This window comes from Homo sapiens, chromosome 2 (assembly GCF_000001405.40).
Source record: "Homo sapiens chromosome 2, GRCh38.p14 Primary Assembly".
In the NCBI taxonomy this organism is placed as follows: Eukaryota; Metazoa; Chordata; class Mammalia; order Primates; family Hominidae; genus Homo; species Homo sapiens.
Window position 1 is genome coordinate 72,007,946 of NC_000002.12, and position 27,710 is coordinate 72,035,655.

Below are 27,710 nucleotides of genomic sequence, written 5' to 3' on the forward strand. Positions count from 1 at the left end.
TCTCATTAGAAAGTCACAAGTGTGTTAAGGCTTCCACTCTCAAGACACAACTATCAACTTTTTAAGTATAAACACACTTGAAAAGAAGGGTAAAACAAATTTCCATGCCCTGGTGGTCACTCACACAGCAAATAAAGCGTGAACTACACAAGTTTGTGTGCAGGACAGTGAAGGAAAACTGGGCCAGTGCATTGGAACCGGCTTTCTGACAAAGGATTCCAGAACCTACTTGACAAATGGAATTTCCACTCCCGTCCTGGGAGAATGGCGCACACAGACATGATTAGCTCACCTTGTTTTAATGATCCTGAAGTTTCCCCAGCTCAGAAATCACAGCTGGGCAAATCCCCAGCTGGATGAACACAGGCGAGAGGGTGTTTGTGGTGGGTGGAGGCCCTGTCCTTTCTCCGGTGGAGAAAGCCATTTATGACCTCACGGGATGAAAGGAACTAACCCAGGCCCACTGAGCTGTTATTATAACAATTATCAAGACCTATCACCTCCGTTTGGGAAATGTCCTTTCAAGTTGCAGCGGCCTGGTATACCCTGGCTCACTATTACTCACAATCATTACTGGGTGCCCAGGGCAAATTATGAATGCTTTTCTTCCGATGTGGATGGATACGATCCTGTTTAAAGGGCTGTAGCTTTGCAAGGGGTTCATTAAAGCCACTGCAGGTTAGTGGTAGGGAGCATGTGTGTGCATGGGCGTTCAAGTGCCTGGCTCTTCCATCCCATGGCAGTATTCCCCCAGCTTGCCCAGGTGACTAAACATGCCAACACGGACAGGCGTGGACGGTGTTGATCCTGCTCAGCCTCACTGCTCGGGAGCACCAGGAGGAGAAGGGAGGAGGACAACGGAAATGTTTTCCCAATTTTTTCTCCTGCTGAGTGACTCAACCCTGCCACACCCAACCAGCAGAAGCCTCTGGACACCGGGTTTGGGGCTCCAGGACACGTATGGGCCCTATTTCCTTCTAGAAGTTAACTCAAGACCAGAGTTCTCCCACTTGGGCCTCGTTGTTGTTGTTGTTGTTGTTTTGAGACGGAGTCTTGCTCTGTCGCCCAGGCTGGAGTGCAGTGGCACAATCTCAGCTCACTGAAAGCTCCGCCTCCCAGGTTCAAGCGACTCTCCTGCCTCAGCCTCCCGAGCATCTGGGACTACAGGTGCCTGCCACCACACCTGGCAAATTTTTGTGTTTTTAGTGGAGACAGGGTTTCACCATATTGGCCAGGCTGGTCTTGAACTCCTGACTTTGTGATCCGCCCACCTCGGGCTCCCAAAGTGCTGGGATTACAGGCATGAGTCACCACGTGGGTCTCTTTTTTTGTGGATCCAAGGCCACTTGGAGAAGGAGGCTCCCTCCTCCCACCCCAGCCACTACTAGACTGTCCCCACCACAATAGGCCAATGGGTGGGGGCAGGGGCAGGGGCGGGGGCGGGGGAGGAAGTGGCAATGGATTCTTGGGGTTTTTTTATTCACTACTAAGAGTCAAAGCAATAGATACTTGAGGAAATAGCGTCAAACCTTTAGAAATATCTATTATATCTATACATTCTGTTCATCTTGTAGAAGTGGATACTAAGGCTCAGAGAGGTGGATGCTTTGCCCAGAGGCACACGGCTGTGAGTGGCAGAGACAAGGTGAACCCAGCATTCCCACTCTGGGATACCAAAAAATAGATTTCTGTGCAATCACTTAGGAGGCTGTTTATGCTTCACTGAAAAATGTTTTTGAAATGGAACATTTTTGAGAAATGTCTTTCGTATTGAGTCCTTTGGGACTCAGTAATTTAAGCCTCATGTTAACACTATGAAAAAAGTAGGAACATTATCATCATTTTAAAGATGAGAAACCCAAGCCCCAGAAAGTCACGTGTTCAGGGTTACACAGCTAGAAAGCGGTGGAGTGTGAATTCAAACCCAGACAGCCCCAGTCATGCTCTCTGCACCTTAACATCAGACTCCCAATCCTTCATGTCCCAGCAGCAGACAACTCTTTTGAAAAGACTTCCCACACCCTAGAGTGGCGACTGAATTTCTCCCTCATATCTAGAAGCCCTTCAGGGAGTCAGTCCACTGGACATGAGCTTTGGAGGATAGGCAGGTCTGGCTGGGGCTCTCAACCCTCCCAGAGCGGACAAGGTGTTTTGTACTTAGTGACACTCGACAGATGCTCATGGAGCTGCCTGGACAGACAAGGTACCTGAAAGCAGAGCCTTCCTTTACTGCCATGCTCATCTTCCTACCTCAGGTCATCCTCTTGTCTAACTAACCTTACACGCCTTCAGGATTACAATAATGTTGAGCTTCTAAAATGTATTATATTTTATTTTATTTTATTTTATTTAGAAATGGGATCTTGTTCTATCACTCAGGCTGGAGTGCAGTGATGCAATCATAGCTCACTGCAGCCTCAAACTCCTGGGCTCAAGCGATCCTTCTGCCTCAGCCTCCAGAGTAGCTGGGACCACAGGCGCATACCACCATGCCCGGCGACGGGCTTCTTTTTAAAAGGTCAATTCTGTCCTCCAACAGGGACAGGAAGTGAGATTTACATAGCAACACATTCCAAAGAAGGTATCACAGGCTCTCTCGGGTTTCTGAGCAACATTCGCTTCCTCGGGTTGACTCACTTGGCTTCTCTGCATGGTCAAGACCATCAGCCACTGACCTATGTGGTCCAGTCCTTCAGTTTCCTCCCACGTGGATTCTAGAAGCTTCTGTCTCCTGCAGGTGTAGAGGGTTCCTCTGTCTCAGTCTGGGGTGGAGGTGCACAGGCATCCCGGGTCCAGGACAGGGCTAAGGCAGAGGCAGGGAGGAAAGGAGACAAGCTGAATGGAAGGAGGGCGAGAAGGAGGGAGAGAGCTAGCAGGAGTGTGAGATGACAGGAGAAGAGAAAGGAAGTGAGAGGTGTTTACAATCAGGAAGGCAGCCTCTGGAGGTAAGAGGACAGGAGGTGTGGAGGAGAGAGGCAAAGCAAGAGAGGTGAGGAGTAGAAAGAGGCAAGAGAAAGAGTTGTGGATGGAGAGGACCACGAGGTCCCCAGGAAGGGACAGTGTTGTGCAAGAAGCCAGGGGAGGGACTTGTTTCCCGTACCCTGGGGCTGCCAGGGTTGTCCTTGGAAATAGCTCCCACAGCAAGGCTGCCCCTGGGTCAGGTCAGGGAGAAGCGGGACAGAGGGTGGGTGAGCAGAGACAGCGGTGGGGAGATGGCCTCCCTAGGAAGCCAAGGACACAGGAAGGGAAGAAAGGGGAGAGCGAGAAAGCCTGCCTCTCCGGGCTGGCCCAGGGGTCCCTGGGGTCCCCACAGGCCCCCTGACACAGCCTCACCTTTGTGAAACGGCCCTTCTTTCCTCCAAGCTCTGACGTCCCCCTCCCCCGTGGCCAGCGACACAGCCATGGGGTTGAAAGAACCCTTGGGAGGTGGGTGGGGCAAGGATTCTTCCACCCATTCTATAGACAGGGAGACTGAGGTTCCAAGAGGCAACTCTTCCTGCCTGTCAGTGGCAAAGTGCTTAGAACAGACCCTGGGCACACAGCGAGTGCTTAGTAAATATCAGCCATGGGTATCACTGCCGAACCTGGACTCCTCTGCTCATTTGGACCCCTCCCAGGGTGTGCTCTCTCCACACTTCCCTGGGCCCAGATCCTAGCTCTTGTTTCAGGGAAATGAGTGTCCGGGAAAACCTACCAGGGGCACTGGCAGGAGAGGAGGAAGGGCAGGTGGTAGGCTCCAGCCTGCCCGTGGGCTCTCAATCCAGGCTTCAGGAGGTCCATGTGAACTTGGGTAAGTTACTCAACTTCTTGAGTCTCAGTTTCAGCATCGGTAAAATGGAGGTGCTGATATGTTCCTGGAAGGACTAAAGAGCTAACCACTGTGCCAGCAGCTGGCACCTGTGGGCACTCGACAAACACTGGTTCCTTTTCCTTCCCTAAAGGCAGCCTTTCCACGAACAGCTCATATTGCCATCCAGGCACAAGGACACCAGAGGAGGCACGAAGCATGGGATGCAGGCAAAGGACCCCAGGCCTGTTTTTTTTCCCACGGTCCCCAATATCTAGCAAGGGCCTGGGCTGGACGGCAACGCCAAGAGAGCCCTGTGGGCTGGGGTGGACAAGAAGGAGTTTGAGTACAGGCTTCCCTTGAAATGCAAGTTGTGAAATGTCAATGTAATTATGAAAATGCAGACACAGGAACATTTGCTTATGGGAACTAATGGTTTTTAATGAAGGTAATCAGCTTAGTTAAATCAAATTATTAGCTTTGACAATAGATGTGTAAATAGGTACTTAATGAATTTGTTGATTGTCCCTGCCTGCTAAAAAGACACCACAAGAGTTGTTCTAGGCCCAGTACACACATCTGGGCTCTCCTCTCTGGTTGGGAAACACGCCCCTCCACTACCACACAGACACACAGACACACAAACCTAGACACAAACACATTGGGAGCTCCCCGAGGCAGAGACTGTATCTCTCCCATCAGCTCAGAGGATCTCAAAGGGTGGGGCCCTTCTTTGATTTCTTATGTTTTCGCGTCTCCTTTTATACACTCTCTCTGTGGTTGCTGTCTTGGGGAATCTAAGGTTGAGGGGACAGAGTCAGGAGGAAGACGGAAGACTGTTAAGACATTGGGCTCCTGTATTCCCGCAAACTTGCGCATATATGATCTCATTTCATCCCTCAAGGACCCTTCCTACTATGATTCCCATTTTACAGCTTAGGAAACGAAGGCACAGTGGGAGGGGTGGGTTGGTGGCAGTAGATAGAGGTCAAGCCTGGCTGGGAAGCAACTTGCATTTATCTTACCATGGGAGTGACCTAGGGCCAGGAGGAGGCCCTCATCAGCTGGGAGGAGCGAAAAGGAAATTGCCTAGAATGAGGAGGTAGGAGCCCATGGAGGCAGAAATGAGTATTAGCAGGGGCAGTCAGAAGACGAGGGCAGGTAGGACCCAGGGCCCATTGCTAGGATTCCTTGTGAGCCAGAAGATGGAAATTGGGCCTCACATCTCTGGAGACACCCTGGCAGCAATCACGTCTCCAAGGCTTCCACCTAGGAATGTGTCAGAGAAGAAGTCATGGGGACTAGTTCAGGAAGGGGTACCCAGAGACCCCCCCTCCCCTGAAACACACACACTCTCACACCCCCCACCCCCAGTATCAGCCAGGCAGGTGTCTCTCACAGTGCTGGGGGAAGGGAAGCGGGTCCTAGGGTTCTATGAATAATGCAATGGGCAGGTTGGGGGCTGAGGCAGACAGGCAGGCACTCCCAAGAGACAGCTCACCCACACCACCCTTGGAGATACCATCAGGCAGTTACGCTGCAGACACGGCCGCTCGCTCACAAGGGCAGCAGCAGAGACGCTGCTGTGTCTCACGTGGGGCTTGCAGATGGGACTATTAGTCAGACAGATGGAGGGAGGGAGAGTGTGCTGAAACCACCTCAGGCCCTGGCCAGGTTCTCCTGTCAACAGGCCAGCCTGAGACAGTCCATGGGCTCCTTCCTGATCTGAGGCTAGGGAGAGACAGAGGGCAAGGCCCCGCCCCTGCCCTAGGCTGAGGGAACAGACACAGCCCCTGCTGTCTGACCCCTGGGCTATTGGTGAAGGCAGTTCCCACCATCCAGCAGCCGGGAAGAGCCAGGTCTTACTTAGGGGAGTCACACGTCCTACACGCTGACTTTTGGAGCCTGCAATTAGTTAGAGAGGCAAAATATTCCCCATCAGGAGACCTGAGATTGAGAGCCATTATCAAGAGATCTAAACCAAGGGCTAGGAAGTGGGATATGGGCAGGAGGGAGCAGAGTAGGAGGATATAAGAGAGGCTTCTGGCCCACTGTCCACAGCCCCACACAAGGGGGAGAGGAGACAGCTCCAAAAGGGACAACGATGCCATGTCCATGCATCTTGTTGACCTGGCATGGAGGTGCCTGGACTCTCTGTGTCCACATCTTCCCAACGGAGCCTTCGTGAGGACTCCAGCCCATTTCCAGAGAACTTGTCCGTGACCTCAGGGTGCCTGGACCGGTGTGGTGGGGCTATTTGGTAACTCCATAATTCCTTCCCAGAAGGAACAGGTCTCTTCTCAAGTTGAACCTGGTGATTTAGAAACAGGAAACTGAAAAATTAGCCTGCCCCTGGACCCAACCCTAGGACAGGGGTTCATCGGGATGGAAGAGTCAGACCCAAGGAAGATCGACAGAGGCCTCTTTTCAGCCCCTGGCCCCAGCCATAAATGGTTCCACCCTCTCCAGAACTCTCATCACATATTGTACATTCCTCTACTAGTACAGTGTGTAATAATTAAATATGTACCTCCTTCACTAGATAATGACCTACTTCAGTGCAGGGATGGTGTGCCTGACTCAGAGGGGGTGCTTGGTATTTCCGGGGGTGATCAATGGGTGAAGAGATGAATAAGCAGATATATGGATAGATGGATGGATGGATGCGTGGATGGATGGATGCTTGGCTGGCATATGGACAGATAGATAGATGAACACTACACCCACATCCACCAGCATCTCTAGTGGCCACCGTATGGTTTGCCCTATTCTTGGGTTGGAACTGTATCAGCCCCTCTCCATTCTAGCTCCATGCAACTGATCCAAATGTCCACACAGGTGTCCTTGCCCAGCAAAAATCTTCTTCTCAGTAGTTACCTAGAGGCCAAGAACCATTTCCCCCCACTCTTCTAAAATCCCACTCAGGATTGTGGTTCCATCAGAGAACTTCCACAGCCCCTTTGGCGTATGAACAATGAAGGGGAAAGGTCAGAGTCAAAACTGGAGGGTCAAGAATGGAGGAGCTTCCAAGGGAAAGAGAAACAGAGATCCTGCTTCCATCCAATCCCTACCTGGTCTCTAGAGAGGAAGCAAGAGGTCACTTCAAGGGAGGGATAATCTGGGCACTTTCTATCCCCAGACCCCCTCTGATGGTGAGGCAGAACCTTCAGTAATGGGTGGAATCATGAACTAGAGTTACCCTTACCCTGCAACTAACCCAGCCCCAACCCTTAGTCTAACTCCAATAACAATAGAATAACAAACACTTACATAGCAATTACCATGTGCCAGGCACCAGCCCAAATGCTTTACATACATTTGCTTATTTAAACCTCACAACAACCCTATGAGGCAAGGATTCTTGTTTATTCTCATCTTACATATGAGGAAACTAAAGCAGACTGAGGTTACGTAGCTTATTTAAGGTCAATAGCTAATAAGTGGTAAAGCTGTGACTTGAACCTAGAAATCCTGGTTCCTGAGTCCTTACTCTTAACTATCAGATCATCCCACCAAATGCATTTATCTCTGTCCTGAATTCAAACCCCATCTCAACCCTGATGCCACCCTCCTATAACCCTCACTTCATCCCCAACTCTTAGCACTGCCATCCCAACTCATCCTTTATAATTTGACACCCTCCCCCCCACCCCATAATAGAATCCTCTGGAGATAAATTCCATTGCTAGAAAATATGAGATAAAGGAAAAAAGTAAATACCAGAAGGAGGCAAACAGACAAATCCGGAATGTGGGACATTCCACTGAGCCAACTGACCTGGTTTCTGCAAGAAGGCAATCATGAAAAAAATTAAAAGGGGAGAGAGTAATTCTCTAGACTCAGAAATTTAAGAATTATAACAACCAAATATGAGATATGGCTCTTGTTTGGATCCTTCCATGTTTGAATAAACCACTCATAAAAAGACATTTTTAGACAGCAGGGATAGTTTGATAATGGTTTGGGTATTCAATGATACCAAGGAATTGGTGTTAATTTTGTTAGATGTGATAATGGCATCGTCATCCTATAAGGAAATGTGTGTAATACTGAAGTGCAGCTGATTCTTGTTCACAGTGGTTTTGTTATATAAATTCACCAAAACACTGAATTAGCAAATACTGAATTATTGCTCCCAGAAGAAATAGAATGTTAGGTTCCTATGAGCCTCTGATCACAATGTTTTCCTCAGCTGATACATAATCTTTTTTTTTTCCTTTTTTTTTTATTATTAAAGTTTTAGGGTACATGTGCACATTGTGCAGGTTAGTTACATATGTATACATGTGCCATGCTAGTGTGCTGCACCCACTAACTCGTCATCTAGCATTAGGTATATCTCCCAATGCTATCCCTCCCCCCTCCCCCCACCCCACAACAGTCCCCAGAGTGTGATGTTCCCCTTCCTGTGTCCATGTGATCTCATTGTTCAATTCCCACCTATGAGTGAGAATATGCGGTGTTTGGTTTTTTGTTCTTGCGATAGTTTACTGACAATGATGATTTCCAATTTCATCCATGTCCCTACAAAGGACATGAACTCATCATTTTTTACGGCTGCATAGTATTCCATGGTGTATATGTGCCACATTTTCTTAATCCAGTCTATCATTGTTGGACATTTGGGTTGGTTCCAAGTCTTTGCTATCGTGAATAATGCCGCAATAAACATACGTGTGCATGTGTCTTTATAGCAGCATGATTTATAATCCTTTGGGTATATACCCAGTAATGGGATGGCTGGGTCAAATGGTATTTCTAGTTCTAGATCCCTGAGGAATCGCCACACTGACTTCCACAATGGTTGAACTAGTTTACAGTCCCACCAACAGTGTAAAAGTGTTCCTATTTCTCCACATCCTCTCCAGCACCTGTTGTTTCCTGACTTTTTAATGATTGCCATTCTAACTGGTGTGAGATGGTATCTCATTGTGGTTTTGATTTGCATTTCTCTGATGGCCAGTGATGGTGAGCATTTTTTCATGTGTTTTTTGGCTGCATAAATGTCTTCTTTTGAGAAGTGTCTGTTCGTGTCCTTCGCCCACTTTTTGACGGGGTAGTTTGTTTTTTTCTTGTAAATTTGTTTGAGTTCATTGTAGATTCTGGATATTAGCCCTTTGTCAGATGAGTAGGTTGCGAAAATTGTCTCCCATTTTGTAGGTTGCCTGTTCACTCTGATGGTAGTTTCTTTTGCTGTGCAGAAGCTCTTTAGTTTAATTAGATCCCATTTGTCAATTTTGTCTTTTGTTGCCATTGCTTTTGGTGTTTTAGACATGAAGTCCTTGCCCATGCCTATGTCCTGAATGGTAATGCCTACGTTTTCTTCTAGGGTTTTTATGGTTTTAGGTCTCACGTTTAAGTCTTTAATCCATCTTGAATTGATTTTTGTATAAGGTGTAAGGAAGGGATCCAGTTTCGGCTTTCTACATATGGCTAGCCAGTTTTCCCAGCACCATTTATTAAATAGGGAATCCTTTCCCCATTGCTTGTTTTTCTCAGGTTTGTCAAAGATCAGATAGTTGTAGATATGCAGCGTTATTTCTGAGGGCTCTGTTCTGTTCCATTGATGTATATCTCTGTTTTGGTACCAGTACCATGCTGTTTTGGTTACTGTAGCCTTGTAGTATAGTTTGAAGTCAGGTAGTGTGATGCCTCCAGCTTTGTTCTTTTGGCTTAGGATTGCCTTGGCGATGCGGGCTCTTTTTTGGTTCCATATGAACTTTAAAGTAGTTTTTTCCAATTCTGTGAAGAAAGGCATTGGTAGCTTGATGGGGATGGCATTGAATCTGTAAATTACCTTGGGCATTATGGCCATTTTCACGATATTGATTCTTCCTACCCATGAGCATGGAATGTTCTTCCATTTGTTTGTATCCTCTTTTATTTCATTGAGCAGTGGTTTGTAGTTCTCCTTGAAGAGGTCCTTCACATCCCTTGTAAGTTGGATTCCTAGGTATTTTATTCTCTTTGAAGCAATTGTGAATGGGAGTTCACTCATGATTTGGCTCTCTGTTTGTCTGTTGTTGGTGTATAGGAATGCTTGTGATTTTTGCACATTGATTTTGTATCCTGGGACTTTGCTGAAGTTGCTTATCAGCTTAAGGAGATTTTGGGCTGAGACAACGGGGTTTTCTAGATATACAATCACGTCATCTGCAAACAGGGACAATTTGACTTCCTCTTTTCCTAATTGAATACCCTTTATTTCCTTCTCCTGCCTAATTGCCCTGGCCAGAACTTCCAACACTGTGTTGAATAGGAGTGGTGAGAGAGGGCATCCCTGTCTTGTGCCAGTTTTCAAAGGGAATGCTTCCAGTTTTTGCCCATTCAGTATGATATTGGCTGTGGGTTTGTCATAGATAGCTCTTATTATTTTGAAATATGTCCCATCAATACCTAATTTATTGAGAGTTTTTAGCATGAAGGGTTGTTGAATTTTGTCAAAGGCCTTTTCTGCATCTATGGAGATAATCATGTGGTTTTTGTCTTTGGCTCTGTTTATATGCTGGATTACATTTATTGATTTGAGTATATTGAACCAGCCTTGCATCCCAGGGATGAAGCCCACTTGATCATGGTGGATAAGCTTTTTGATGTGCTGCTGGATTCGGTTTGCCAGTATTTTATTGAGGATTTTTGCATCAATGTTCATCAAGGATATTGGTCTAAAATTCTCTTTTTTGGTTGTGTCTCTGCCCGGCTTTGGTATCAGAATGATGCTGGCCTCATAAAATGAGTTAGGGAGGATTCCCTCTTTTTCTACTGATTGGAATAGTTTCAGAAGGAATGGTACCAGTTCCTCTTTGTACCTCTGGTAGAATTCGACTGTGAATCCATCTGGTCCTGGACTCTTTTTGGTTGGTAAGCTATTGATTATTGCCACAATTTCAGCTCCTGTTATTGGTCTATTCAGAGATTCAACTTCTTCCTGGTTTAGTCTTGGGAGAGGGTACGTGTCCAGGAATTTATCCATTTCTTCTAGATTTTCTAGTTTATTTGCGTAGAGGTGTTTGTAGTATTCTCTGATGGTAGTTTGTATTTCTGTGGGATCGGTGGTGATATCCCCTTTATCATTTTTTATTGCGTCTATTAGATTCTTCTCTTCTTCTTTATTAGTCTTGCTAGCGGTCTATCAATTTTGTTGATCCTTTCAAAAAACCAGCTCCTGGATTCATTAATTTTTTGAAGGGTTTTTTTGTGTCTCTATTTCCTTCAGTTCTGCTCTGATTTTAGTTATTTCTTGCCTTCTGCTAGCTTTTGAATGTGTTTGCTCTTGCTTTTCTAGTTCTTTTAATTGTGATGTTAGGGTGTCAATTTTGGATCTTTCCTGCTTTCTCTTGTGGGCATTTAGTGCTATAAATTTCCCTCTACACACTGCTTTGAATGTGTCCCAGAGATTCTGGTATGTTGTGTCTTTGTTTTCGTTGGTTTCAAAGAACATCTTTATTTGTGCCTTCATTTCGTTATGTACCCAGTAGTCATTCAGGAGCAGGTTGTTCAGTTTCCGTGTAGTTGAGCGGTTTTGAGTGAGATTCTTAATCCTGAGTTCTAGTTTGATTGCACTGTGGTCTGAGAGATAGTTTGTTATAATTTCTGTTCTTTTACATTTGCTGAGGAGAGCTTTACTTCCAAGTATGTGGTCAATCTTGGAATAGGTGTGGTGTGGTGCTGAAAAAAATGTATATTCTGTTGATTTGGGGTGGAGAATTCTGTAGATGTCTATTGGGTCCTCTTGGTGCAGAGCTGAGTTCAAGTCCTGGGTATCCTTGTTGACTTTCTGTCTCGTTGATCTGTCTAATGTTGACAGTGGGGTGTTAAAGTCTCCCATTATTAATGTGTGGGAGTCTAAGTCTCTGTGTAGGTCACTCAGGACTTGCTTTATGAATCTGGGTGCTCCTGTATTGGGTGCATATATATTTAGGATAGTTAGGTCTTCTTGTTGAATTGACCCCTTTACCATTATGTAATGGCCTACTTTGTCTCTTTTGATCTTTGTTGGTTTAAAGTCTGTTTTATCAGAGACTAGGATTGCAACCCCTGCCTTTTTTTGTTTTCCATTTGCTTGGTAGATCTTCCTCCATCCTTTTATTTTGAGCCTATGTGTGTCTCTGCACGTGAGATGGGTTTCCTGAATACAGCACACTGATGGGTCTTGACTCTTTATCCAGTTTGCCAGTCTGTGTCTTTTAATTGGAGCATTTAGTCCATTTACATTCAAAGTTAATAGTGTTATGTGTGAATTTGATCCTGTCATTATGATGTTAGCTGGTTATTTTGCTCGTCAGTTGATGCAGTTTCTTCCTAGTCTCGATGGTCTTTACATTTTGGCATGATTTTGCAGCGGCTGGTACCGGTTGTTCCTTTCCATGTTTAGCGCTTCCTTCAGGAGCTCTTTTAGGGCAGGCCTGGTGGTGACAAAATCTCTCAGCATTTGCTTGTCTGTAAAGTATTTTATTTCTCCTTCACTTATGAAGCTTAGTTTGGCTGGATATGAAATTCTGGGTTGAAAATTCTTTTCTTTAAGAATGTTGAATGTTGGCCCCCACTCTCTTCTGGCTTGTAGGGTTTCTGCCGAGAGATCCGCTGTTAGTCTGATGGGCTTCCCTTTGAGGGTAACCCGACCTTTCTCTCTGGCTGCCCTTAACATTTTTTCCTTCATTTCAACTTTGGTGAATCTGACAATTATGTGTCTTGGAGTTACTCTTCTCGAGGAGTATCTTTGTGGCGTTCTCTGTATTTCCTGGATCTGAACGTTGGCCTGCCTTGCTAGATTGGGGAAGTTCTCCTGGATAATATCCTGCAGAGTGTTTTCCAACTTGGTTCCATTCTCCCCATCACTTTCAGGTACACCAATCAGACGTAGATTTGGTCTTTTCACATAGTCCCATATTTCTTGGAGGCTTTGCTCATTTCTTTTTATTCTTTTTTCTCTAAACTTTCCTTCTCGCTTCATTTCATTCATTTCTTCTTCCATCGCTGATACCCTTTCTTCCAGTTGATCGCATCGGCTCCTGAGGCTTCTGCATTCTTCACGTAGTTCTCGAGCCTTGGTTTTCAGCTCCCTCAGCTCCTTTAAGCACTTCTCTGTATTGGTTATTCTAGTTATACATTCTTCTAAATTTTTTTCAAAGTTTTCAACTTCTTTGCCTTTGGTTTGAATGTCCTCCCGTAGCTCAGAGTAATTTGATGGTCTGAAGCCTTCTTCTCTCAGCTCGTCAAAGTCATTCTCCATCCAGCTTTGTTCCCTTGCTGGTGAGGAGCTGCATTCCTTTGGAGGAGGAGAGGCGCTCTGATTTTTAGAGTTTCCAGTTTTTCTGTTCTGTTTTTTCCCCATCTTTGTGGTTTTATCTACTTTTGGTCTTTGATGATGGTGATGTACAGATGGGTTTTTGGTGTGGATGTCTTTTCTGTTTGTTAGTTTTCCTTCTAACAGACAGGACCCTCAGCTGCAGGTCTGTTGGAGTACCCTGCAGTGTGAGGTGTCAGTGTGCCCCTGCTGGAGGGTGCATCCCAGTTAGGCTGCTCGGGGGTCAGGGGTCAGGGACCCACTTGAGGAGGCAGTCTGCCCATTCCCAGATCTCCAGCTGCGTACTGGGAGAACCACTGCTGTCTTCAAAGCTGTCAGACAGGGACATTTAAGTCTGCAGAGGTTACTGCTGTCTTTTTTTTTGTCTGTGCCCTGCCCCCAGAGGTGGAGCCTACAGAGGCACGCAGGCCTCCTTGAGCTGTGGTGGGCTCCACCCAGTTCGAGCTTCCCGGCTGCTTTGTTTACCTAAGCAAGCCTAGGCAATGGTGGGCGCCCCTCCCCCAGCCTTGCTGCCGCCTTGCAGTTTGATCTCAGACTGCTATGCTAGCAATCATCGAGACTTGGTGGGGTAGGACCCTCCCAGCCAGGTGCAGGATATAATCTCATGGTGCGCCGTTTTTTAAGCCCGTCGGAAAAGCGCAGTATTCGGGTGGGAGTGACCCGATTTTCCAGGTGCCGTCCGTCACTCCTTTCTTTGATTAGGAAAGGGAACTCCCTGACCCCTTCCGCTTCCCGAGGGAGGCAATGCCTCGCCCTGCTTCGGCTCGCGCACGGTGCGCGCACCCACTGACCTGCGCCCACTGTCTGGCACTCCCTAGTGAGATGAACCCGGTACCTCAGATGGAAATGCAGAAATGACCCGTCTTCTGAGTCGCTCAGGCTGGGAGCTGTAGACCGGAGCTGTTCCTATTCGGCCATCTTCTACATAATCTTGTTGTGTGTGAGTTTCTGCTTAAAGGCACCTTATTTAATATATATTGTTGATTCATTAACAGCAAGCTCATGGCCACCAGCACTGTACCTCATGACTAGATAAAGCTTACCTAACACTCGTATTTCCTCCGTAAGACACATCACAGCTTTCTTGTGCTTAAGAACATCAGACAGCCCTGTGCTTGGGGACCCCTTTAAACAGCAAAATCACCAATAAAAGGCACCAAGAGTGTGAAAAACATGGTACTGAAGAGACCATGAAAAGGACCCTTTAGAGTATGAGAGCAGAAACTGGAGGCAGAGCGTCACGATGTTTGGCCTCACCTGGGAACCTAACATCTGGTGACACATTTTTCACCAATGTGCTCGTGTCTGCGAATGACCAAGAGGGCATGATGAGTGCTGATTTTGCATTCCAAATGAATTTTTAAAATAGGCAAATTTGCAAATGCAGACTCCATGAATAGTGAGGGTGAACCGCATTTAAGAATAAAATGGCATGGCGTCCGGGATTTGCTTCTAATCACTTCAGTGGGGAAAGAAAAACAAAAGGATGAGGAAAGGATAGATGAAGCAAATGTTGGAGATGTTGCTAATTGCGGACAGTCATGATGGGTATATGGGATTGGGGGGTCTGTTGCTTGAGGTCCTCAAAGAAGCAGGAACCAAGGTGAGATGAAAGGTGTTATTTTATTAGGGGACATGCCTGTGAGAAAGGACATAAAGGAGGAGCCAGAAAGGCTGGGAGAGCTAACCATCATTCTAAATGCTAGTCTGACCCTGAATGAAGGAGGGAGGGAGAGAAGGCTGGGTAGGTGCACCCTGGAGAGCAGGGCAGCCTCCTGAGTATACGGACAGTCGAGCAAAGCCTGGGAACGTCCCTGAGTGAAAGTCTCTGACAGAGGGTCCCACAGCTCCCATGAAGGAGCTTGCCTTAGGATTCCTGCTGCACTGGCAGGGTCCAGTCCTTGGGAGATGCGGCCTCCACACAATCAGGGTGAGGGCTGAATGCCCAGCACCAGGCCTCACACGCAGCAGGGCCCCTGCAGCAGGAAGTCCGCAAAGCATGCTCTCTTTGTCGCCACATGGAGGTTCATTAAACTAGTCTCTACCATTGAGTATTTTTTGAAATATTTTTCAATAAAAATTAAAAGAAAAAAATGAGGTGGGCAGAAGAGTGTAGGGAGGAGGAAACTGTGACGAAATTACCATGTGTGGCAACATTTGGACTCACAGCATGCAGGCTGATTGGCAGCAGACCAGCCATGTGTAATTCTTCTCCTTTTTTTTTTTTTTTTTTTTTTTTTTTTTGAGATGGAGTCTCACTTTGTCACCCAGGCTGGAGTGCAGTGGCACCATCTCGGCTCACTGCAACCTCCGCCTCCCAGGTTCAAGCCATTCTCCTGCCTCAGCCTCCTGAGTAGCTGGGACTACAGGCGTGTGCCACCGCATCCGGCTAATTTTTGTATTGTTAGTAGAGACGGGGTTTCACCATGTTGGTCGGGCCGGTCTCGAACTCCTGACCTCGTGATCCACCTGCCTCGGCCTCCCAGAGAGCTGGGATTACAGGCGTGAGCCACTCTTCTTATTTTAATACTACAAACTTGTGTAATAATGTCACACAGTTTCCAAATTACTTCTGTGCCTCCCCATTGAACTCTCACACCTACTTTAAAAGATGGGCAGGGCAGGCACTTGGGTATCATTGTACCTGCTGGGAAGATGAGTAAATCTCTCTCAGCACCCAAACCTCACTTTGGTTAAGAGAGTGGCCCCATCACTCAGCTGAGTAGGAGTCAGGTGAGAAGGCTGTGCCCGATCCTCAATCTGGTGACCTCCTACTACCCTTCCGTGGCCCACCCTTCTGGCATTGATACTCAGGCTGGGAGCAGGGTGCCTCCAGACCCTCACTGAGCTGCCCACACTGCTGGGCCCAATGTCCCTTGGAAGAAAGAATGCTTATCTTGTGGGATGATGAGTAGGGTTTAAAGGTCAGCCTGGTAGCGGGGCTTAAAGCTCTGAGGTCAGGGTTAAGGTTTAGTCTGAAGCTAAAACAGGGTCACCCTGAGGTCAGGATCAAGGGACTGTGAGGGGTAGTGACACCCCTCAGCCCCTTGTAGGCCATGGTAGTGGGGATCAGTCCCCTACCTGGCCCACACAGCCCTCTAACTCATTCTCCTCAACCCCTCTGGGTCTGTGGACCGGAGCGGGGGCTGCATCCACACAGAGGTGCCCTGAATTTGTCCCTCAGGCCCATTTGCATCTGGTGCGCCTTGGGCTCACCCAGGAGGATTTCCCCAAGAACATTTCGTAAGCCACCTGCCTGGGTTTAAGCCCACTGACAGCAAGAACAACTCTGGGACAAGCCTTGTCCAATTCCCCACCCATTGCTACAGACTTAATTACAGACCCCAGCTGCACCAAGTGGCCACCTTCCGCCCCCACGGGGGACAGAGAAGGGGGGCCGGTTTGTGCTCCACTAGGAGGCATCAGCAAGAGAAATCAAGAAGCGTTTCCCAATAGTGCAGCCTGGGAGTGCGATCTGTCTCGATGAAACTGTGACCACGGTGGCTACATTTTCTCAGGTCCCTGGTGCCTCTCACTCCTCTTTCTGTGTACACCGCCCCCCACCCCATCTTGTCCCCACCGTTGTTGTTTCAGTCTAATCCCTTATGAGCCCCAAAAGAGAAAGTCTGAATGGCCTGGCACTCTGTAAAAGGAGCCTGAAGGGGGCAATGCTTAAGCCCAAAAGAGAGTGATCCCCTGCTGGGGTGGCGGGCACTATGGCAGCAAATGTGGAGTCTTCCTGATGCTGCAGAAAAGGAAGGCCCAACCAAACTATGGCAGCAATGACTTTCTCTTCTTTAATGCCTTGGCCCCTTGCCAAGGCCTCCAAATGGGCGCCCCCTTGAGAGACAGGCAAGCATGCAGGGTGCTGCTGACTCGGCTGGCAGTGACGGTGCTTCCATGTGCCAGGTCATCCCCACCCCATACCTAATCACCAGCCTCGGAAAAACCTGGCAGTTCCTTCCTGCCTCTCCAGCCACGCCACCCCCCGCCCTGCCGTGGGCCCTTCTCCCCTCTCTCCAGGACCTCGGCAGCAACTTTCTACCTCTTCTCTGCTCAGTGCCACAGTGCTTCAAGGGCATCATTCCCTACAAGAATAGGTCTAAATCAGCGGTGGGCAGGCTACCTGAGGCCCCCAGGCCAAATCCATCCCACAGCCTATCTCCCTAAAGCCTCACAAGCTGCCTGGCTTTTACAGGTGAAGATTTGCCATCAGTGTGATGGTAGGCACCACTTTTACCCCAATTAAGCAAAATATTACACACTCCCTCTCCAAAATTGTAATAGACCTATGTTATTTTCTTAATGTACTCTATTGTTATATTTTAAGTTTCCTTACTAAAAAGTTGTAGAAACATGCTTTCTCTCTTTTTATATAAGTGCCTATAATATCCTTGGTTTTTCCTCCTGGCCCTCAAAGTCCAAAAGGTTTACTGTTTGTTTGGCCCTTTCCAGGAAAAGGTTTGCTGGCTTCTGGTCTAAACTCTTCCTTTGAGTATTCAAAGTCCCTTAATCATAAGCACCCCCTGCCAACCACACTTCACCCCAGCCCCCAACCCAACCATACTGGGTTCAAGTCCCGGCCCTTCCATTTACCACCGTAAGTTATTTGTATTCTTCATGCCCCAGTTTCCTCATCTGTGGAATGGGGATAATGAGAGTAGGATAACTCAGTAAGTTATACGGGGATTGAATGAGTTAGTATTTATAATGTATGTAAAGCAATGCCTGCCACATAACCTGCCTATGTACATGTTTGATAAAGAAATAAAACCTCTTACAGCCCAGTGCCACCTTGAGCACTCCATTCAAGAAGTCCCATCTCCTCCATGTGGCCTCCTCCTCCTTTCACGGAACCCCTACCTGCATATCTTATCTCTGGCTCACAATGGGAGCAGTGATGACTGTCACTTTCTGCTCCCTCTGCCCTGTTTCCTGAAAGCTCCTTGAGGGCAGGAATAATGTCTTATCTTCCTTACTTCCCAGAAGATTACAAAGCTGAATGTAAAATGAAGATACACACATGTAGGAAGAAGTAATTTTCAACAACTAGAACAAAGAAGAGCTTTCTGAACTTAAATGTGAACGGAGCAGTGGTGAAGGGAAATATGTTCAATTTGATTGCCTGGAATGTAAGTCTTCTCCATTTCAAAAAAACAAAAAGGCAGAATATAAAAATCAAATAGGAAACATGGAAGCAATATTTGAAACAAACATGGCCAGTAAAGGGAGAGTTAATCTTCTTAATAAATATACAAAGAATTCTTACAAATCAATATGAAAAAAAAAATCCTAGGATCAAAATAGATAAGTAGTAAAAAGACTTAAATAGAAAAAGTGGAAATATAAATGGCTAACAAAAAAGTAAAATTATTTATACTCATTAATAATTCACAGATGCAAATAAAAAGAATGGCAATGAATAATTTAGCACATGAAATTAATAGATAGTTTTTAAAATAAGAGTATTCAGGCTTGGCCAGGGAACATGAAAATGAGCACTGCTGGTGAGAGTATCAATTGAGCAACTCGGTGAATTCAGCAACATGATTCAAAGGCCTTTAAAACAGTCTTACCCTTTGGCTCAGTATTGCGACTTCTAGGAGGCCAGCCCAAGGAAATCATCAGACAGGTGGATAAAGATTTACACACAGTGTTGTGAAAAATGGAATACAACTCACATGTCCAACAATAGGGGATTGGTCAAATAAATTACGGTCCACCCATATGATGGTAGATTATGCAATGATTTAAAATGATGTTTACAGAGAGTGTTTCATGACATGAGATACAAAATGGTACAAATAATTCAAATGCAAGTATGCTTTGTAAGTGCATAGAAAAGGGACTGGAAGGAAAGAGGCATGACTCCCCAGCTCCAGGACAGGATTGTGGTGCTCAGCCTGCATACCGAGACTGTGAGGTGTCCGAGGCATGGGCATGGATTTCCACGCAGGCCTCTGTGCATCCGTGTGCACTGGGGCACAGTTTTGTCTGTGGTTATGTGAGAAAATGTCTTCATGTGTGGACATAGGTGTGAAAACATGTGCAGAGTATGCTCTGAGTGTGTGCACGTATTTCTTATGTCCAAGTCTTCATGTTCGAGCAAAGCAATTAGCAAGTGATATGGACACTTCTCAGTCTGCACACCTTGACCGTAAAGGGGCCAGCAGCCATTGCCCCAATAAAAAAGTGTTCAGTGCCCTCGGCCCTCAAGCTGGCCCTTGCCAAGGACACTGCTACACCCAAGCTGGGAGTCCAGCAGACATTATGGGATCACAAGTGGAGTAGGTCTAGCCCTGCGAGTTGTGATTAGACGTAATTTGAAATCTCAAGGGCCTAAAAGGAGACTGCAGATGCTTCCTAAGGCCCTGGAGGGCCTGGATCCATGGGGCTGAGGACTGACCCTCGGCTCACTCCGACCCAGCCTGAGAACTGCCCACATGTGGCACCATAGAGGGAAGGCCCACCCGCCTACCCCAGTTTGAGGGGAGCCTGAGCTCTTTGCACAGGCCCACACACTTCTGGCCCATATCTTCCAGGCCTTTCTGTTCCCGTTCCCAGGAGGAGGCCGTGTGGTGTGGTGATTTTCCACTGAGGAGTGCCTGTGCTATTGCCATCTCCCCAGGGCCAGGCTGGCTCCACCTGCTGGCCTGGTTGGCGATAAGTGGGCCCCACCTGTTGCCCCTGCCCCAGGAGCAGGTGGGGGCAGGCCGCCGGGGGTGTGCCAGGATCCTATCTGGAGCACCCAGCCCAGATCATGGGGTGTGAAACTCCATAGACACCCCAGCACCTTCCCCAGAGTCACCTGACCGGGAATCGAACCCTGTTCTCAGTCACCTGACCTGTCTTTTCCCTCCTCCAAGGACTCACCCTCCTGCAGCCAAGTCATCCTGTCCATCCCTCTGCCTCCAAGCTTGGCTGAGGCTCAACTCGGCACATGTTTGTTGAGCATCTACTCAGGCTCTCAGGAGCTCCCTCAGAGCCAGGCCCAGCCACACCGGGTCTGAGTCACCAGCAGCCCTCCTGAAAAACGAGTAAGGGATGACTTAGCCAGTTAATGGGGAAATACCCACAAAACCCAGCCAAGGGTGTGCAGACTCTCAAAAGGCAGGGGGAAACAAAGAGGGACAGAAGGAGCCGGAGGGCTTTTCTGTGAATAGGGAAGAGAGAACTCGGACATTCCTTCAATAGCAACTTTCGAACTCCCACTGCAGGCGGGCACATGCTAGATGCTGGCCACCAATGCCATCTTTGCCTCCTTGGAACTTATAGTCTAGTGGGGAAATGATATTAATCAAAGAAAAGTAAAGTTGCAATGGCATTAGGGGATTTAACCCAAAAGTTCATGGTGCCAGGAGAGCCCGCAGAGACAGTGCTTGCTCTGCTCCACACCTGGAGGGCAGCCTGCCTCCGCCCCACACCACAGGCCCATGGGCCTGGGTTTCCAGCACTGTGTTAGCATCGCCTTTCAGGCCCTCCAATCTCCTAACGTCAGCACAAGCCTTGATCCAGAGTTGTCCGCATGCTGGGTGGTCCTCCCAGGCAGCGGGATGTTCCTGGTGCCCCCCACCCCATGCCCTTTTGTAGCATCAAAGGGCTTCCAGACATCCCCAATGTGAAAGACAAAATGCATGTTCTAACAAACCAGCCTTGAGCAGAGCAGCAGGTGTGGAATGGGGGCTCCACAGAGAGCAGGGGCATCTCCTGGAGAAAGTGATGTCTGCGAGAGAGCTGAGTTCACAAGCTATGGGGCAGAGCGAGGGTAGGGGCCAGACAGAGGGAACGGTGAGTGCCAAGGGCCTGGCAGAGAGGCACATGGCATGAGCCAGGAAGTGCAAGGTGGCCAGGGTGCTACGGAGGGGCCTAGTGGGAGATGGGAGGCAGCGTGGGCCGGCCTTGGGGACAAAAGTCAAGTTCTTGTTCCTACCCTAAGGGTACTGGGGAACCATTGAAGGACTTTAAGCAGAGAGTGACATGATGAACTCTACAACTTAACATCCCACTGGTTACCATGTGGGGAACCAATGGGAGTCCACCAGAGAGGAGCTAGCAGACTGTCGGGAGGCTCCACAGCAGCCCAGGCCTGGGGCCCTGACTCAGAGGGGCAGGTGGGCAGGAGTGGACAGAGTCGAGAGCCATGAAGGAGCAGCCTCCACGGGAGAGTGTGAGGAGGCGGGACACAGGGCATTGTCTATTTCAGAGGGAGGAAAGGAGCACTTAAGAGTGGGTCAGAGAGACAGAGCCCTCCATGGGGAGTTCAGCCCCAGAGCCTCTCACTCCAGGCGTCTGTCCTGTGGGCAGAGATTGTGGGGAACTTCAGGGACCACCTGACCTGGGCTCCATTAACCCACTGGACGTCCAAGGAGAGAATGTAGGGGATTTGGGGATTGAATGCGGAGAAAATTACACCATTATTTTCACCAACGCCTAACTCAACTTTCTTTCAGTTATGTGTGGAGACAACAAACCACAAAAGTATGTAAAAGTACCTGTGACTTTGTTAGCAATCGAAATCAGATATTTTCATATCATTACAGTTGAGAAGACATCTTGAAATATCAAAAACGCTCATCCACATCTTGAAATATCAAAAACGCTCATCCCAATGCAGAAATTATTATACAAAAACTATTAGACCCGCTGCTAGATCTTGTGATGTAAATCACTAATGAGAAGCACATATGTTGCCATAGCACAGACTTGAAGCTGAGTTGCCTCCACTTGGCTTTTCCACACGCCGCAAGCAGCCTCGATTTCACCCACCATTCTCATCAGGGAGGAACAAGGCAGCTGGTCAACCCATGATGGCTAATAATTTGGTGATCTCAATAAACCGCTAAAATTTTGGCTTATCTATCTTTTATTCAGGAGAAATGGAAAGAAACAGGTTTTCAAACAATATAAATTACATATGTTTTTATGTTCAGAATAAGGAATTAACAAGTTGAAGTAATGTAATATATTTTTCCTTATTTGAAATTGTCTTCATTTTATAATCTTCCCACTTTTTATAACTGGCCACTTATAGCCACATCCTCTAACTTATATACACATCATTACTAAGGCTTATTTACAGCATATTTAAAAATTGTTTTATTCTGGTTCGTGGTCACTCACTGCCAACACCTCAAGTTTTTTTGTTTTTGTTTTGGTTTTGTTTTGTTTTTTAACAGGGTCTCACTCTGTTGCCCAGGCTGGAGTGCAGTGGCATAATCATGGCTCAAAGCCTTGACCTCCCAGTTTCAAGCAATCCACCCACCTCAGCCTCCTGAGTAGCCAGGACTACAAGTGCACCTGGCTACCACCACCCCTGGCTAACTTTTTATTTTTTGTAGAGACAGCATCCCACTGTGTTGTCCAGGCTGGTCTCAAACTCCTAAATTCAAGGGGTCCTCCTGCCTTGGCCTCCCAAAGTGCTAGGAGTACAGGCGTGAGCCACCATGCCCAGCCTGCCTCAAGATCTTGGTCTTTGTTTTCCTAAACTGGATCTGTGTCTGAGAGTCATGTCAAAGACTCTAAGCTTTATATCACCCTTTCTCAAAAAGCAGAGCCGTATGCACCAGGTATTATTTGGTTGCAGGATTTGGGTCGGTTGCAGCTTTGAGTCTGGGTCCCAGGTGAGAGGCGTGGCATATAATCGTGCCATGCAACATGTGCATCCTTATTGCAGAAGTACACAATCAAAATAGGTTGGCACAACGTTTTCTTTTTTTAATTCTACTCCAGGGCGTTGTCTACATCAGTGGGAGTGGAGCTTATTTGCATTTTGTCAGTTATAGCGACGTGGTCACAGTGAAACCTGAGTTAGGTAGCATCCTATTTCCAGCTTGAACCGTTTGTGCCCACTACTGACTGGCTACCTGACAGATGCCCAGATTGCCTTTCTCTGAATTAGGTTCTACCTGCCGAGGGAAACTGGTTTTCAAAAACCCTCTTCATGGTGCCCTGAATCAGCCCCTGCACCCCCTATACTAAGAAGCCCGAGACCCACTAGGAATTTGATTGAAACAAGGCAAATCTGAACTAGCTGTTAGGGCATTGGTAAAGAGTGAGGATGGATTATTGTGGAGGCTCCAAATAGACACGGTCTTCCTATAGCACGGATATGAAGTGGCCCAAGGTGTCTCTGCTACCCCACCTTCCCTTGAGGTTCTCCGGTCACCCTCTTCTCTGCTCCCACTTCCCCCAGCCCCCTACCCAGGGAAGAAACTATTTGCTGGTGCCATTTACAGTGATGGGTGCAGCAGTATCCTTTCAAGGAAATTCATCTGTGGTGAGGGGATGTGCCCTGTCCGAAAGTGTGAATCACCTCTGCTGGAACTCTGGGCACTGTAACATGCAATCAGGGGCTCTTTGGAGAAGAGACGTCTGCATACACCTCGAGGAATACAGTCTGCCTGTCTGTAGGGTTGGCCCTCCCTCCAAGCCCTGATCCTTCTTGAGAAAGACTCTGGCTTCCTAACTTCCCACGATCTCTATCAGTAAGGTAGGTATCCTACGAGCGGCCCCTTGCCCTGTTCCCTGGGAGAGAGGACATGACCCAGGAAGTCTCCAAGTACAGGCTGTGCCTGGGGAAGAGGAGCCGGCCGGGGCTGAGGAACCAGAGGAGTTAGCGCAGGAAGGCTTCCTGGGGGAAGAGGGAGCAGCCCTGGGCCCCTCACCAGTACTGCCCCGAACATTCCATAGGCATTCAGAAACTTCTGCAACCTGACCCTCCTGCCCACTCATACACATACCTTATGTTCCTGGCCCCTGAATGTAAGTTCATCCCATTCTGCTGGCTGCTTCCCTGTCCAGAACGCCTCCTACCCACCTCGCTTCTCTGATATTCTTGTGATAGCCTCCACGGAGCTGCTGGGCACTCAACCCACTCAAGGCTTCTCCCACGGCCGCTCTCCAGACCTGGCTGTGCAGTTGTCCTCGAGACTGTTCTTCAGTGTCCATGCCTCCTCCTTCTCCTGTTACCCACAGTGCAAGGGGAATCAGACTTCTTGAAGGTCACAGCTTCCTTCCCTAGCTCAGAGAATTGGGGCAAAGAGTTGGAAATGGCGACCAGATGTGGGGACAGTAGTGACTGTAAATGGAAGAACTCCTGTGTCAGACAAGCCTGGGACTGCACCCTGGCTCCCTGTTTCCCAGCTGGGCCCTCTTGAAACAGCCTTTCCCTTCTCTGAGCCTCAGTCTTCTCATCCACAAAATAGGACTACCCGTATTTGAAAGTGTTTTGCAAACTGCAAAATACTGAATATCAGAATGGAGATCATTACTCAGAAATGGCTGGCCCCATGGATAGATAGACAAGTGAGTGAATTCCAGGCCAGGGCAGGGATTTGGGGCAGACGTGGGTTGCTGCCTGCCTTACCTGTGCATAAGACCAACCCTGGGCAGGAGTTCCTATTTCTTCCCCTGAAATCCAGGAATTTGCCAAACAGGCAGCTCTCACCTGGAAAAAAAGTGACTCAGGCCTCCAAGAGAGCTGGGATGAATCAGGAAGGCAGGGACTGAATGTGGGGCCCCCACCCAGGGGCCTGGGCCTCTCCCAGCAGGAAGAACATGAGTTGGTCCCCAGCCCTCACTGGGTAAGAGGGCAATCCTGCCAAAATGCGCCCCTGGCCAGCCAATGGGGCACAATAATCATCACCACCACACTCACTCCCACATTCCAGACCTGTCGGGGCGCCTTCACGAGTGCTATCTTGTCATGCATAATCTCTGAACCCCAAGTCAGGGAGGCCCGGGTTCCAGCTCTGCTGCTCGTCCTCGGTGTGTGCCCAGGCAATCACGTAGGCCTAGTTTCCTCCTCTGGTAAAGGGGGTGGTGGACTCAGTCGGCCCCAGCCGCTCCTCCTGACGTGGGTGTGGATGGGAGGCAGTGGCTGCAGGAGACAGGAGCACCTGGGAACAGCCCGGGGTTGCAGCCCCAGCCCTGCCATTTGCCAGCTGTGTGGCCTGACCACTTGCTGCTGTGCTTCCTCGGCAGTCCCTAAGAGTCCATCCTGCTCTGACAGGAGTGTGACCTGAGGGAGGTCCTCAGCTGTGACCTCTGTCTCCCTATACCTCCCACTGGCATGGCCAGCTGCTGTCCCTAGAACTCTGCCTAGAATGCACACTAGGCAGCTCAAACCCTGCATGCCCAATATGAAACTCTGATCATCCCCGAATGCCACAAAAGAACCTCCTTCACCCTGTATCCCAGTAAAAGGCAGCTCCATCCTTCCAGTTGTTCAGGCCCAAAATTTGGACTCCTCTCTTTCTCTCTACCCCACAGCCAATCCAGCAGCAAATACTCTGGTGCCACCTTCAAAGCAGATCCAGAATTCCACTGATGCTTGCTTCACCTCTTCCTCACTGGTCCAGGTCCTGTGGTCCTCTGGGCCATCGAGGAAGCCTCCTCTGGGTCACTCTGTCCCACGCTTTGCCACCACCACCCCCCCCCCCCCCGCCGCCCACCATCAGCATTCCCTGCTGCAGCCAGAGGGATCCTTTTAAACCTCAAGTCAGGTCTGGTCCCTTGGGGCCCAAACTCCACAGAAGCTTCAGAGTAAAAGGCAAAGCCTCGAGGGCAGTGCACCGTTCTATTCTTGCAATAAAACCAACTCGGTTTTGGGAAAAAAACTCAAAAGACCTTACAATGGCCGACAGGGCCCTGCATGCTGTGTCCTCCATTACCTCTCGGTTCTCAGGCCCTTCTCCCTCCTCTCCAGCCGAAGCACCCCTTGCTGTGTTCAGCTCCTCTCTCAGGGCCCATGCATGTCTTTCTCCCAGGCAGCCACACGCTCCCTCCCTGACCTCCTTCAAGTCTTGGCTGAACCCAGGCTCTCCTCGGCCTCCGCACTTCCATTGCAACACCCTTCCCTGGCAGCAGACCTGATCCACTTGACTCTCCTTTGTTTTTCCCCAAACCTCATATGACCTTCTAACATACTCTGTCATGCGTCTATGTTTGCTGTTTATTGTCTCTCTCCTCCCTCTAGAATGTTAGCACCAGGAGGGCAGGGCTTTTTATCTATCTTGTTCTTTAAAGGATCCTTAGCATCTGGCACACAGTATGCGCTCAATCAATACTTACAGTGTGACTGAGTGAATAGGCATCAGTAGACTGTAATGGAAAAGAGAACTAGTAATCTGCCATTTCCTAACTGTGTGACATAATCTCTTCATGCCTCAGTTCGCTTATTTGTAAAATTAAGTTAATAATGGTACTTGACTCATGGGGCTGGTGTGTGGATTAACATGTGCTCAATAAATATTGACTGTGACCATGATGCTATCTGCAGAGCATCACTAGGAGGCAGGTGTGTCGCGGCCCACTGAGCCCCTTTCCAGGTCAGGAGATGTGCCCGGAAAGCTTCTCTCAGCTCACCCGGCAGGCTTTTCTTGCCCAGAGCCTAGGGAGGGCACCCCATGCTAAGGAGCAGGACCCCGCTTCAAGGAAGTCGGAGCCAGCCCTGACTCACATGCTCGGTCACCCTTGGATGCTGGGAGTGTGGCATGGAGGAACCCAGGCCAGCAGGGAGGCAGTGGCCAGAGAGCATGGGGCCTCAGATGGGTAGTGGGTCTCTCGGGGGTCAGGGGACAGTCATTTATATAATAGATTTCTCTCCTAGAAGCTGAGAGTAGGTGGCCTTCCCAGCCTGAGCAAACTCTCCCGTTTCTTCTTTGAGCAGCAAGATTAGTGGGCAAACCAGCTCTGACCAGAGAAATCACTAAATCCACTCTTTGGCTCAAGGGAGCCTCAAAGCAGCCCCATAAGAGCCAAGGTCAGGCCCCTCATCAAATCCGTTTAACACTTAGATAAACAGAGGCCCAAGGGGCAAGAGAATCTTCCCAGGGTCCCACTGCCAGAGACAGGTGGAGCTGGGACCGGCAGTCAGGGCTTGAGACCTTAAACCCCGGCCAGTTTCCTTCCGCAGAGAGCTGCCGTTTGAGCCCAGGCCCCTACTCCCTTTCTCCTCAACTGAAGATTGCAGCTGCAATTTGTTTCCAGGTGTTCAGGCCCCAGAAGACTCACGTTTTCACACCCTGTCGCTTGAGGTTTTCTCCATCCAAGGGGGAAAGGTATAGGATGTTTGCATGAGTCCCTCTTGATGGTCTATGAGTTTCTCCAGGCCCCATTAATTGACTTATGATTTATACTCTACCTACTTCCAAAGAGGACATGAAGTAGCTTACCATAGAATACATGCATATAATGCTGCTAACAAAAAATGATAATACATAAAAATTCAAGAGGAGAAAGAAAGACTCAAATACGCCAAACACAGGGGCTAACACAGATCGTGTGATTAAGGGTTAACTTTCTATCTGGGCTCCTAGCAGCTAAGGTACAAGTTGGTGCAAAAGTAATTGTGGTTTCTGCCATTAAAAGGCCACACTACTTTTGAAATCAACCTAATAAAAAGGGCATCTTCGGGAGGCACTGAACCATCTTTTCATCCTCCCCCAGCACCTGGCGTCAAGGAAACCCTTGAAGAATGCTTGAGGCTGACTGAAAACATGGGTGGCAGCCTAAGTTCATGACTTGCTTTGGCCAAGTGACCCCACGGGGACCCATATCCTTACTCTCTGGGTCCCTCCCCAGAGGTCAGTCCTGGGGCACGCCCTGGGTGCCTGT

The 27,710-nt window shown here is 48.3% G+C and overlaps 1 long non-coding RNA gene across 4 annotated transcripts, besides 7 other annotated features; it reads right to left on the reverse strand.

Moving 5' to 3' along the window:
* Positions 2,785 to 3,285: an enhancer, noted in NCBI's record as "H3K4me1 hESC enhancer chr2:72237860-72238360 (GRCh37/hg19 assembly coordinates)". NCBI's record gives its function as "activates a minimal SCP1, AML or CMV promoter by ChIP-STARR-seq in naive H9 embryonic stem cells {active_cell/tissue: H9 hESC(naive)}" and the evidence as "EXISTENCE:reporter gene assay evidence [ECO:0000049][PMID:30033119]".
* Positions 3,286 to 3,786: an enhancer, noted in NCBI's record as "H3K4me1 hESC enhancer chr2:72238361-72238861 (GRCh37/hg19 assembly coordinates)". NCBI's record gives its function as "activates a minimal SCP1, AML or CMV promoter by ChIP-STARR-seq in primed H9 embryonic stem cells {active_cell/tissue: H9 hESC(primed)}" and the evidence as "EXISTENCE:reporter gene assay evidence [ECO:0000049][PMID:30033119]".
* Positions 4,921 to 5,421: an enhancer, noted in NCBI's record as "H3K4me1 hESC enhancer chr2:72239996-72240496 (GRCh37/hg19 assembly coordinates)". NCBI's record gives its function as "activates a minimal SCP1, AML or CMV promoter by ChIP-STARR-seq in primed H9 embryonic stem cells {active_cell/tissue: H9 hESC(primed)}" and the evidence as "EXISTENCE:reporter gene assay evidence [ECO:0000049][PMID:30033119]".
* On the reverse strand, positions 4,966 to 25,855 carry LOC105374798 (uncharacterized). 4 transcript variants are annotated; one of them, XR_940236.3, is made up of 4 exons: positions 25,766 to 25,855; positions 24,766 to 24,972; positions 23,911 to 24,055; positions 4,966 to 6,098 (listed from the first exon to the last, which is right to left on the reverse strand). It is a non-coding gene; the product is annotated as an uncharacterized LOC105374798 (long non-coding RNA). The 4 variants fall into 4 exon arrangements; XR_940235.3 differs by having other exon boundaries at positions 24,460 to 24,972; XR_940237.3 differs by having other exon boundaries at positions 4,966 to 5,056; positions 5,918 to 6,098; positions 23,911 to 24,972.
* Positions 5,422 to 5,922: an enhancer, noted in NCBI's record as "H3K4me1 hESC enhancer chr2:72240497-72240997 (GRCh37/hg19 assembly coordinates)". NCBI's record gives its function as "activates a minimal SCP1, AML or CMV promoter by ChIP-STARR-seq in primed H9 embryonic stem cells {active_cell/tissue: H9 hESC(primed)}" and the evidence as "EXISTENCE:reporter gene assay evidence [ECO:0000049][PMID:30033119]".
* Positions 12,935 to 13,583: an enhancer, noted in NCBI's record as "OCT4-NANOG-H3K4me1 hESC enhancer chr2:72248010-72248658 (GRCh37/hg19 assembly coordinates)". NCBI's record gives its function as "activates a minimal SCP1, AML or CMV promoter by ChIP-STARR-seq in naive H9 embryonic stem cells {active_cell/tissue: H9 hESC(naive)}" and the evidence as "EXISTENCE:reporter gene assay evidence [ECO:0000049][PMID:30033119]".
* Positions 13,584 to 14,232: an enhancer, noted in NCBI's record as "OCT4-NANOG-H3K4me1 hESC enhancer chr2:72248659-72249307 (GRCh37/hg19 assembly coordinates)". NCBI's record gives its function as "activates a minimal SCP1, AML or CMV promoter by ChIP-STARR-seq in naive H9 embryonic stem cells {active_cell/tissue: H9 hESC(naive)}" and the evidence as "EXISTENCE:reporter gene assay evidence [ECO:0000049][PMID:30033119]".
* Positions 23,470 to 24,669: an enhancer, noted in NCBI's record as "CDK7 strongly-dependent group 2 enhancer chr2:72258545-72259744 (GRCh37/hg19 assembly coordinates)". NCBI's record gives its function as "activates an origin of replication core promoter dependent on BRD2, BRD4, P300/CBP, MED14 and CDK7 cofactors, with strong dependence on CDK7, by STARR-seq in HCT116 cells {active_cell/tissue: HCT116}" and the evidence as "EXISTENCE:reporter gene assay evidence [ECO:0000049][PMID:35650434]".
* Positions 25,856 to 27,710: the final 1,855 nt, after the last annotated feature.